The sequence below is a fragment of the Homo sapiens genome, chromosome 4, assembly GCF_000001405.40.
Source record: "Homo sapiens chromosome 4, GRCh38.p14 Primary Assembly".
Taxonomy (NCBI): Eukaryota; Metazoa; Chordata; class Mammalia; order Primates; family Hominidae; genus Homo; species Homo sapiens.
Window position 1 is genome coordinate 65,656,604 of NC_000004.12, and position 12,889 is coordinate 65,669,492.

General features: G+C 35.5%; 1 protein-coding gene across 13 annotated transcripts in view, besides 1 other annotated feature; it reads right to left on the reverse strand.

The window, feature by feature from the left end:
- The window catches only part of EPHA5 (EPH receptor A5), a 350,923-nt gene that overhangs the window by 337,037 nt on the left and 997 nt on the right, over positions 1–12,889 (reverse strand). The window contains exon 1 of one of the 13 annotated variants that reach the window (NM_001318761.2): positions 12,834–12,885. The exons of the other annotated variants lie outside the window; for them this stretch is intronic. The gene's annotated coding sequence lies outside the window, so the exon portion shown is untranslated. Of the gene's footprint in view, positions 1–12,833; positions 12,886–12,889 lie in introns of those variants that run through there. 13 annotated transcript variants of the gene reach the window in all.
- Positions 11,504–12,035: an enhancer, noted in NCBI's record as "H3K4me1 hESC enhancer chr4:66533825-66534356 (GRCh37/hg19 assembly coordinates)". NCBI's record gives its function as "activates a minimal SCP1, AML or CMV promoter by ChIP-STARR-seq in naive H9 embryonic stem cells {active_cell/tissue: H9 hESC(naive)}" and the evidence as "EXISTENCE:reporter gene assay evidence [ECO:0000049][PMID:30033119]".

Consider the following 12,889-nt stretch of genomic DNA (forward strand, 5'->3'; position numbering starts at 1 on the left):
ATATATAATAATGTGATTGTTTATTTTTGAGAAAGGGTCTCCCTCTGTTGCCCAAGCTGAAGTGAAGAGGAGTGATCAGGGCTCACTGAAGCCTCAACCTCCCAGGGCTCAGGTTATTTTACCACCTCAGTCACCTAGGTAGCTGGGACTACAGGTGCACGCCACCATGTCCGGCTAATTTTTTGTATATTGTGTGGTAATAGTCTCCATAGCATTTATAATTTTAACCCTCCCATCTAGAGGAAAATTTAATTCAAAGAACTTTTATAGATTAGGAGAATCTAATATTAACCCTGTGATATTTTGGATATATTTGATATTATTTTAGAGTAAATGAAAACGTGTGTGTGTTTTTTTTTTTTCTGGAGAAATAGTTCATTTAAAACGCTAACCAGATGCTGACCAAACTGTATTTAAAAAGTCTTTATCACACATTTTAAACTTTCTTCCACGTAAATCTATCTTAAAATGCTATTCTGTTCACATAATTAATAACAACAATGTTTCTGCTGTTTTCTCTCCAATATTAAGAATTCTTGCCAGCTTGTAAATCTAAAGTACTTCATAAAATAAGTGACAGTCAAAATAATCCAAGAAATCTATAACAAATGAAAGAGTAAATCCTTCTGCCCCCCAAGAAATTTAAACCATTTAGAAACACATGTTTTATATTAATTGTTTTTCTGGAGGTAAAATTAAGACATGCTTAAGGCAAAAAAAATTTATGTTATGTTGGCTGATAGCTGTTCAAGTGATATGAATTCTGAGAATTTATCATAAGAAAGCAGAGGTCTTGGGAAAGCTGTAGTTGATTAAATTACAAAGAGGTAGTGACCACAGGATGTCTATGAATTGTTTTCTAGCAGCTTGCTAATCTCAGTAGAACTTTCTTCTCATTATACGTCTAGCAAATCTAAAATACAGTATTCTACTAACAAATTTCTTGGAATTAACTCGCTTTGGTTGGCAAATCATAGAATCTTTTAGTTGGTAACTTTTCAGTTTAAGAAAGACTGCAATACCAGAGATTCTGAACTCTATTGGTTATGGATTTATGAAAAGAGCTATGTTGGCTTCACCAGCAATACAGTAATGAGGTAAGACTTGGTGTACTTAACAGCAGTGACTTTAAAGAAACAAATAAGTTACTTAATAATATTCGTTCACTAAACACAAATGTATAGATTATAACATACTTCACTGATATTCCATATGGAATAGCGAGCACTGGAGGTGGCACTCAATGAGTTTACAGACAGGCAAGCTTTCTTCATATTGATACATTTGGTATATGCAAAAAAAAAAAAAAAAAAAAAAGATATTTTACTGCCAGTTTTTGTGGAACTAACTTGCTTTCTTTAGAAAATCATACTATTTCAGTGGCCATTCTCAGTTCAGAAGAGAGCTTTTTTTTCTAGTCAACCTTTACTTTTTACAGGGATCTCTATTTCCAGCAAAGATCAGAAATGTACAGACAAGCAAAAACACAATTCCATCTCAGTATGATAGGCAACACCTAGAATAAAAATGGGCACACAATCCTGGGAAAATCTTGTACAGACCTAGGCATAAATATCAAATTATTTAGTGAAGAAAAGAGGTGAGTGTTTCTGACTGAGCTCATAGGATCCTATTGCACTAAGAGCAGTTCTTCACCGCAGGAGCTTGGAGTGCAGGGAAGGGGAACAGGCAGGAGAGGTGGGCCAGAAACAAAATACTGAGAACTTTGTACTCAGGCTCAAGTAGTTAGGTTTTATCCTGAGGGCACTGGAGGACTATTGAAAGGTTTTAACCTGGGAGTAAATAAGGGCTGCTTGAGCTATTGAGCTGAAGTCAAGTGTTTTTCTTCTGGCATTTCCACTTGCAATGAATATTAGACAGTACTCACTGACTAATGTAAAAAAGTAGACCTTGCTCAATGTCAGAGTGCCAACCCACACTGTTTTAATACATGTAATACTTAACATATATATTATTTACTATATGCTAGAACTTTTATGGAGCACATTATTAATAATAATTCAATCTTTTCAATTCTAAGCCATATTGTTATAATAATCCCATTTCACAGACAAGAAAACAGAGGCACAGAGAGGTTTACTAGCTTGCCCAAGTCACACAGCTCTAAGTAGTTGAGCCAGGTTCCTGAGCCCGTGTTTTTACAATTTTGCTATACCTCAGCTAAAATGTTGCACTGATTCTTCAGTAATAAGAAATTGGCTTTGATACTAGTTCTAATTTTTTAATAGATCAAACTCTCGTTTCAGCTCCCTAATTTATAACATTGAGCTTCTCTAATCTATTCTACAGGCTCTATTATGAGATTCATGTGGAATACCATTTTTCATAATATATGCTACAAAATATTGATTATAAAATATTTAATATAACCTTGTATGTAAAGGAGGAAAAAAGCATCCAAAGGGTTGGCTTGGACAGGAGATGAAAGGTGAGTACATTTTCCAGGAAACCTTTCTGTCTTCTCTCTTGTTATAAAAAGTAGTGCTGCCCAAAATAATATAATCTATCATGAGTTAGAATAAAACTATTTTAAAAACTCTCCTCTATTTTTAACAGAGCAAGAGGTAGTGATCAGCAATAGATAGCACTTCTTAAACAATTTATTAATAGGATTTTGGGTATGCATGCCGAGATATAGAGTGTCTGGTCTGGGCTAGAGACTGGGAACTGGATTGTTTATATACTAGAGTAACAGAAAAAAAAAAAAAAAAAAAAAAAAAAAAAAAAAAAAAAACAGGAAAGGTAAAGCATAGATGCCGTGAATTGGAAAGAGGAAAATATGTGGGAACAGTTCTCCCCTTGTGCCAGTGGGGATCTGGACAATGAAGAGAGAAGATGTTAATACGAGTTAAATTAGTGTGTAAGAGTATGATGACCAGCAGCTGATCAAGCGTTTAATGAGAGGGAAAAAATTATAGCTATGACTAAGTATGAGAGGAAATATCTCCAAGACCTCACATACATTTTTTAAGACTTGTTTTGAGGAAAATAAATTAATACATACGTAAACCACTTAGAACAATGTCCCCCACCCAGTAAGTCAATAATAAATGTTAGTTATGATTACTTTATACACATGTGTGCATTTGTGAGCCTGCAAGCACACGCATACATTTTAAAAGTGGATCTAAATATAATACATTCCAAATTTATTTTACCTGTTTATGCTCACCTAAGTAAAAAAGCTAAGCCTTATAAAATTACATTAATACCTTTTGAAAATATAAAAATTCAATTATATTTCCAGGTAATATTTTTAACTGTGCAAATAATAGAACAGATGAGACATCTACATATTTCAAACTAAAGGTAGAGGTGTCGACTTACAATATTAGTAATTTCTAAGAATCTAATTCTTCCAACTGTCCACTTTCAGCAGCATTTCTCATGCCCTTTTAATGAATTTCTATACAGACTCTACATATATATGACATTTTATACATATACGTGTGTGTGTATTTAAAAGTGAAACTGATAACATACTATTATTATAGGACTAAATATTCAAAATATTTGAACATATTTCTTGATATGATTTGTGGCAAAATTTTTTAAAAAAATTCTGCCCTCTACCAGTCTACCTGAGGGCAAATGAGGTAAAATACAACATTTACAACCCATGACCTTGTACTGATGGTTTCCATTTATTTCCTAATCAAATTCCAATATTCGATATTAAATAATGGGGAAAACCAACAGAAAATCAAGATAATGTCATGTGGTTGGTTTTCACCTTGGATAGCTCTATAGAAAATGTGTATATGAATTCCTTTTCTCAGATTGTTTTCCAAGCCTAGATTCCTTTTAATCGTACAGTGTCAGGAAGATGACGATCTGTGAGTGTGAAATCATACCTCAAATATTCTATATGTAGTAATAGGAGAAAGGGAGGAAAGATAGGGACTAACATTTTGGTGTACCCACTTGGCTTTAGGAAACCTACTAGGCTACATAGGTACATTATTATTTTATTTTCACAGCAACCTTTTGGATGTACCTTTACATCTTCATTTTAACTGTGTGGAATCTGAGGTGGATGGTTCAAGACCATACCACTGTCTAAGACCATGGTTGAGCTGGGTTCCTGGTCTCTACATCTCCCCATTCTGAGCTACCCCACAGCAGGCATAATTATCATGAAGTTAATAAAAATTAAGATACAGGACCCTCAAGGACATGGGCCACTTGAGGCATGAGCAAAGTGTTCATAAAATCCATATTTCTGTTAAACTTGCAAAGTAGAATATTTTTCTACTCCGTTTCTTAATGGAATTCCCTCACATAACATAATCTTTTATTCTTACCCTTACCCAGCAAACAAAGAGTAACACACAGAGACCATGTAGGGCATTTATTCAGTTATATTCCCAGGCTTCCTCTGCTCCTCTACAACCTATATTTGTGTATTGCTCTAATAATTAGAAAATGGTTTTATTTCATTTGTTTTCCATAGCAATTATATGAAGTAGGCAGTACCATTATTGCCGTAATACAGATAATTGAGTTGAAGTTTAAAATAAATATATAAGGGCCAAATAATTTAGAGTTAGTAAGTGTTAGAGACTAGCACAAACAAAAACTAAAACCATGTTTGTTTTTTAATTCAAAACAGATTTTCTTAACTGTTTTTGTTTGTATGCTTTTGTTGTTGTTGTTGTTGATCTGTCTGTACTTCCACTGTGACTAATTCTTTCCCTACTTTGTTTCACAAGTTTAAATCAAAAACAATGACTTCAAATCTGCATGATTAAGGTAATTTTGTTGTTGTTATTGTTGCCTTCCCTCTTTCTAGAGACATCAAATACCATGGTTCGAAACTAGGTGTGGTTAAAATCCTTCAAACACAGCAGTTTTCAAGTATCTTCTACCTCAGAAGTCTGGCTGTATCCCCCTTCTTAGGACACCCAGTATGGCATTACTACACTGACTAGAGAAAAACTCTTAAGTGAGATGACAGTGCATTGTCATCTTCCATGAGACTGGGCAGTCAGCCTCACCTTTTCTGCTAGTACACATGGTGAAAGCTTTGGGTGAAGCTTTGGGTGAAAGCTTTGGGTGAAAGCCAAGTTAGAACTTGGCTCTCTAAGCAAGCTCCTGCTGTGGACTGATGGGCTGAACTGGTGCCAGCCGGATCTGCCTACTGAGTTTGCCTTTCCATAGAAAAGACATTAACAAGCATCCTGGAAAGGGAAGGTGCTGTCATTGCAAAGCAAATAAGTTAGCTGTCTTATAAGAAAGGCAAAACTGACAGAGATGTCTTACAAACTTCTGATGTATGAATTAAGTGAAAAAATATATAACTGGGTTTGACACAATCTATTCTGCAGGCAGAGTCCCACAATTTATTTACAAGAAGACTATATATTATCTTCTTAACAAACACACAGTCCAAAATCTTGACTTCCTTGAGGGTGTTGGAACAAAACAGGCAGGGGCTCTTACCCTCTTAAATCATTTTGACTTAGTGGAGGATGGAAGGAGGGAGGAAGAGAAAGAGGGAAAGAGGAAGAGAGGATGGGAAGAGACATGACAAATGAAAATAAGAGTGTAAAATTAATATAAGAGAAAAAAGACATTACCCATCTCTGAGTAAAAGAACAGACTGTATTTTCTCTAAATCTTCCAATACTTAGCCTGAAACATGTTTCCAAGTAGGAACATGTTCTTGCAAAGCATATGTAAAATATTTCAACCCTCAGGTTTTGGCTCTTTAATTTTTTTTATTTTTTACCAGAATCATTTACTTAACAGAGTTGTGTGGCTAGTTTATTTAGAACTGAAGACAAGCTCGATGAATGCAGAAGATGGCCTGGGCAATAGTCCAGCAACTAAAACATAATTAGAATTATCACAGACACTTTAATCCCAATTATTTAATCTGTGGGGTGTCCAACACAACAAGTGTTTGGCATAACTCAACAAAACAGATCTTACAGAGAAATAGAAGGAAAAAACAACAACAACAACAAATGTATGAAACAAAATGAACTAGGGATTTATTTATTCTTTTTTCTTTAGGCTGGGGTTTTATCTTCAGGGTCATAGTAAAACAAATGTAAAATTAGAATATGTGAGTGTGTGAGAGTGTGTATGTGGGCAGGGGTGATATTTTTTAAAAATAAGATTGAAAACAATACTCAAAACTGTTATTAATATCAATTTTGTGGTGATACCACATTGACATCCCTCTCCCTACCCTTTCTTCCAGCCTTCCAACAACCTTTCCACACACTCAGCACACACCCATGGGCACATACACCAAAATTCCAGGCAAGTTATTGCACTCTGCTTAATAAACACACAACAATTAAAGGCATGAACATTTTATCACTGAGAGACACAGAGGAAAGAAGGCATGCCCTAGGTTCTACTTTTGTTTGACAAAGTTTTGTTATGCTCACCTATAGTATAACTAATAATTTAAGCATTATTAATAAAGTAACACATAAGCTGATCAGAGACTAAAGACTGCAAACCCTACAGGAAAAGAAGAGCTACAGAAAAGTTTAATTATGAATAGAATCTACTAGGACTTTTTAAACTGGGATACAATTAAATGGCACTCTAAAGGCAAAACATAGACACTTTTTTAAAAGAGGTTTTCAGGCAATTTTTAAATATAGAAATGACTGCTTATGGTTTCTTTAAATCACTATAAATTTAAAATCATTTCACAAAGTTAGACTAACATTAAAATGACAATAAATGTCATCATACCAAACCACAGAGTTTTTAAGAACTCCAAGTGGGACACCTACTAAATTACAGTTTTCTTTTATGACTTTGTAACATCTGAGATTCTCATTAGGGATACTGGATGAAAATTTGAGCTTTTAGGGAAAAAAAAATAAAAAACAAAAAACAAGACCTTCAATTACTACAAATTTCACCAGACACAATTCAAATTCTTATGTATCTTATAGCACTTTTTCCTTCTGTTTATTTTTCTTTGCACTAACAGATTATATCATGTAACAATTGTTTAAGATGGTAATGAAATAGTTTAAATGCGATTTTTAAAATCTGATTCTTGAAATTAATTGATCAGAATTACATTTTAAACCACTCAAATATTTCTTATTGTTATTATAATAGGAATTTAAAAAATAGAGCCATATCTTTCTTTTATGTGATAAGAATAATTGCAATGAATAAAACTTCTGTATGGGAATTCTATAGGGTCAAAAGAAAAATGCAAATTCCAATAAAGTCTTAATATTCAAAAATAACTGCACCACTATTTATTTGGAGCTTCATGTGGAAATACCCATTTCACAGTACAATTTATATGACATCAGATTCTATTTTTGTAAAAGCTTCTTTATTACAAGAACATTTTGCATATGTTAATAAATGAATTGTCAAAAATAAGATGTTCAAAATTTATATTTAAAATTGCTACACTGCTTCCATTTTTACCTTGCTCAAACACTTTAAAATCTATCTCATGAACTGAATACAAACAAATGTCTGGAAAGTCAGAAACTAAAAGTAAATATTAAATAGAGAAAAACTGTCCTAAGAATTCATGCTAATTGTTTTGGAAGTTCAAAATCAAATACTTAAAAAATAGATCATTCATATTTTGAAATAAACATTTTCAATGGCACCAATTATTTAGACTAGATTTTCAACATCTAATAATTGTTAGTTTTCTAACTGTCATATCATGCCTTCAAAAATTGTTATTAGTACATCAGAAAATCTCTTGTTATTTATGTATTTTCTATCTCTAATGCATCTCACTCAATAAATGTTTGTTGATTACTTTAAAGATAGGTACTAATAATTTTTTCTTAAAAAATGAACCCATTTTAATCTGTGTTTACAAAGCCTTCAGAACTCATTTTGCTTTTTATCTACCTTTATGTACACCCATAGGAATATCTGTACCAATTACACAAGGATAGAACATATGATAAATTTTTAAAATCAGTTAACTATCCCATTAGGTATATAAGTATACAACGGACTATAATAACTCTTTTGAAGAAACCCTTATCTATCCTATGAATTACATAACTTTTGATAAAATAAATATGTATTTACTCAGAAGGGCACAGCAGTAGGAGCCATTCTCCACCTGAAATATACTCACTACAGATATTATAACAGTAAGAATCATTCTGAGCTTCTAAGTAAGAGTTGACATTTTTAGCTCTAATGTTGCTTTTATAATCACAATTCACTCTTTCTGAAAAGAAAAATGCAAATACTACGATCAATTTTTACTGATTAATAAGCAAGACATGAAATTCAAACCTCAGTTAATTCTGATGCTTTATAAAAACCATTGTGAGCTATTTTAAGATTGCTTAAAATGATGTCATAATCTTTAAGTAGGTACCCCTGCTAACTTAAATTGGAACTATTCATTAGTAAAATAGAATATATTAAATATATGCTAATTTAAATTGAAAAAATAATGTCTAAAGAGTTATCAATAATTTGTTCAGCAATTATTTCTTTGAAGTATGAACACGATATTTTTCTTTTGAAAAAAGAACATTAAATTTGACTCATAAAAAGGATAACAGCTATAGTTAGCTAATATAATTATGTACATTATACTCTATTTTTACAGTCAAAGGTAGAAAGGTTTCTACCAAATGAAAAAGAAACTAATTGCCATTCAAGCAAATACATTTAAAAAAGCACTCCAGACAAAGGAGATTCAAGTGGTAGAGTCAATCAACAAAAGTGTGGTGGAAATAACTAAAGCATAGTTATTTTCTCAATGGTAGCAATCAATTCTGAATAAAATATTTAATTAAAAAGTTTGGAAATGTTTGCTATAAACAGCTATATCATTTCATTTTGATTTTGCATGTAAAGATACAAAAACACATACTCTAAGTGGTCACATTTTATAGAGCATAATAATATCAATATGTTATAGTAAATAATGTTCTTATAGGTGTAAAAAGTGCACCTTTTTTTCCATACCAACTATATTTTATGTGAATTGGAATAAAGAGCCAACAGTATTTCCAGATGACAATATTACAAGAAGAATATTTCCAATCAAAGAAAAATCTTTGTTTTAAATGCAGAAATTGTTCACTGTCCTCTCTGTCTTATATGAGTAAATGAAATCCTCTTACCTGTCACCCTAACACCCAAGAAGATCTTTGTCTACCTCAAAAGGAGCTTAAAATGTCAAGACCTAGGTCCCCTTTTCATGGTTTATTAAGCAAAAAGCCAAAACTATTCACGGTCCCTTGTAGTTTCAACAATCTATGATTCAAATAGGGGTAATAGCTCTCTTTTCTTGTTCAGTAATGTCCTGGTGAGGAAATGATTTTACTGTCCTTTTTTCTGTGGGGTCCTGCGGATTTATCTAAAAGGAAATGAATTACAACAGGATGACAAGGCCACAGAATAAAGCCATTTAGTTTTACAAATCTATTATGTCCTCCAATCTATTTTATGGGCCTGGTTCTATTATAAGCCAAGAAAAACCCTAAAACAAACTTTTTTTTTCCTTTTTTATCTTTCCAAGGAAAACATTTACAAGTTTATGATAGTTTTTCAGGCAGTTTAGCCTTTTCTTCCCACCTTATGTGTTTCTACCCCACTTTCTTAAACATACAAAACATTCAGAGACAAGAAACTGGACTTTTTAAATCCAAACTGCTGACAACTGTCAGAAGCACTTTACTGGGACATTACTGACTGTAGCTTCAATGAATTAAGCTTGATTCACTGCGGGTGAATCATTTTCAATGCAGGGCTGTTCAGCAGTAATTGGCCAAGAATCCCTGCTGTGAAAAGCACTTGTCAAATAATGCTTGTTTACAAATATATCTCCAGACAGCAAAAAGTGGCAGCTACTGAATAAGTTCAGGGCCACCTCCAAAATTCATAGCAGTGGACATGAACCCTTTACTTACTAAATTTATTTAAATTTTCACTTGCAGATACACTTGCTAATATTTGTCCTGCTTGATCAGAGACAAGTCTGTTTCTAAATATACCTCTGAAATCTTTTATAATAAAAAAGTTTTGAATATTATACTGTAGATCAAATATTCCTTTCACATGTAGTTTATGACTAATATACTAAAACTACTAAGGATATATTTATCTTATAAATTGCTTAGAATTTAGACTAAAGGGTAAATTTTCCTCTTATTGTCTGCTATCCAACATATTCAAACATGCCAAATAAACACATTTCATATCAGTCCAAAATTCCAGATATATGTTTGGCTTTTTCTATTCAATTCTGCTTGGTTATATCTAACAAAGTTAAATTTAAGAAATGACTAGAATAGCAGCTATGAATATACACTTACATTTATTCTGTATGTTTTAAAACTTTTTTTCACATAATGGGAGCATTCATAATACGCACACACACACATACACACACAGTCTTTGGGAAATCACTAAGCATCTATAGATTGCAGAAGTCAAATTATATGAGAAAAAGTGATTAATGAGTTCAGCATATACATGAAATCTTTCTGCCCCCTGACCTTCCAAAGTCCCTCCAGAAGCAAACAAACAAATTGGAAAACTCTAATCTGAATCTCTAAAAAAGCCCAAACATTTTATGAATATTTTAGCATAAATAAATATTTTAATACACTCTGCTGCTCAATTTATAGCAATAGCATGGAGAAACAAGAAGAGAAGAATCTATATTTCACAGAGCAGAAATAAAGATCTAGGATACTAGGTGGAAAGATGGAAAACTGCTCAGCTGAGATAGGATGAATTAGATAATGACATAGATATTTACACAATTTTATTTCCAATTAAGTATAATAGTGACATATTACAAAATGTGCCCCAAACAGCAGGCTTTTTTCAGAGCACCAGGTGGTAAGGTACATCTCATTTTTGATTAGATCCCCAAGCCCCATCTCCGTGTAGTCCAAGTTTTGCTGTGTGACGGACTAGATGAGGTAAGACAATACAATCTGTGGGTGTTAAATCTGTAACAACAGCCAGGCTGTGTTCCACAAGATTCCAGCTCTGCCTTCAACACCTTAGGAGACCGGCGCTATTTCTCCTTCCTTCTCTTTCCTTCTGCCTCTTCCTCCCTGCACAGTCTTGGCTCTTGTTCCCATTCAGTGTCACTCTCCCTGAGAATTGAATTCTTCCAATTTTCTAACCAAGAGCGACTCCCTTTCATCTCCACCTAAGTTCTCCCCTTCCATCACACCTGGAGAGAGGACTTGAAATCTAACGGAAACACGAAAGGATGAATGATATTACTGTTAAACCTCTTCAAATTCAAACGAGGATGCCCCTTTCGGTGGAATAAGACAGTTAATAAAAGAGCCTCCTCCAAAGCTGTTATAATCCTCCAGACGTCTAACAGAATGAATTTAACATAAGGTGTTAATAAAAGGTCTACGACTCTCAAAAACATTTTTTCAACTTTATCAGAAAGGGAAAATACCCAATTGTTTGGCTTAAGCATGAGAGATAGCTATATATATGTATATAGATAAATGCAGATAAATACACATAAGCCTTTAATTAGCGTTTAAAAAATAAACTTAGAGGTTAAAGAGAAAGTTCATGGGATGAGGGCAGGGGAGCCTCTATCTGCCCTGCTTTCACACCCTTCCTTTAGAGCTGGCATTGCTGGGATATCAGCTCAGCGCCTTCTCCTACAGCGGAGACTGAACCCATGCAAGTCACGAGGACACACACGACTCCACCACTGCTGCTTCATCTTTCCGGTCTAGTGTCCCGTGCCCAGGAGTGGAAGGAATTTCTGCAAGGTTTTGAGCCTCACGCGTCGCATCCACAGCCCCAAACCGAAACCTCACCATTCTAGCCAAAGTGGGTAGGTTTTTCTATGTTTTCATGGTGGAGCTGACAGATCTGGATCTGAGATACTGTTCCCGCCCCTCCGCGAGTAATGCGCCCTTGGGCTGAGACCCGAGCTCAGTCCGGGTGTGGGAGAGGAGCAAGCGCTGCTGGAGGGGACCCAAAGGCAGAGGTCTCAGGTCCAAGAGGCAGGCGGACAGAGGGGCTGAGCACTGTTCCGGGAGCACGAAGAGCGACACAGGTGTTGCTCCCGCGCCAGCTCTACTCTCCCAGAAAAAGGCAGGGACAGTATTCTGGGTCTGGAGCACAGGATTGGGGGTAGGGAGGGGGACTGGGTACTCCTGGATCAGGTGCTGGCCAGAGCAGGTCTTTTCCGTCTTTAAGACATGCCCAGGTGGGTTTTAGCGGCAACTTCCTAGCAGCGACACTCCCCCTCACCCCTCCTGCCGCGGCATCCCACCTTCTCGCCTTCTTCCACCTTGGCTTGAGTGTGACAATGAACTCCCCCAAGAAGAAGGGCACCCAACTGTGTGGGGCGCCTTCTGTCCTTCGCTATACCCCTCCCACGAGAAATAAAAGCTCCTGCCACCCACCCCAGAATAGCAGCTGGTGATGCCCTAAATAACAGCTCCCAGCAGGCACTTTCCCCAAAAATAAAAGCATCCAGCCACCCCCACAACGTTTCCCATCACTGGCCTCAAATAACGGTTTCTAAAAGCCCCACTGCTCCAGAGATCCTTGTCACTGAGCTTCCAACAGTTCCCACTCCTTCAAGCCCGAAATGTCACTTCCCCACGCGCCTTAAGTGAGGCCCAGCCGCACCCATCCCCCTGGAACGGGCCTCCATTCCCCAAAGGAGGCCTCGACCTCCTTTCCCCCAAGGTTTTCCACCTTCCCAGCCCCCCAACCAGCCTCTGTCCACACGCATGTTCCTTGCCCAGCACTCCGCAGCTAACGTCAAACAATGCAACCAAAAACCGCAGAGGGGAGCGAAAAGGCCAGTGGAAGGGGACGACAAATACCAATTTGAGATGAGACTGCGATTTAGTCTGCAGCAGCAGCGTCCAGCGCGCTGAGA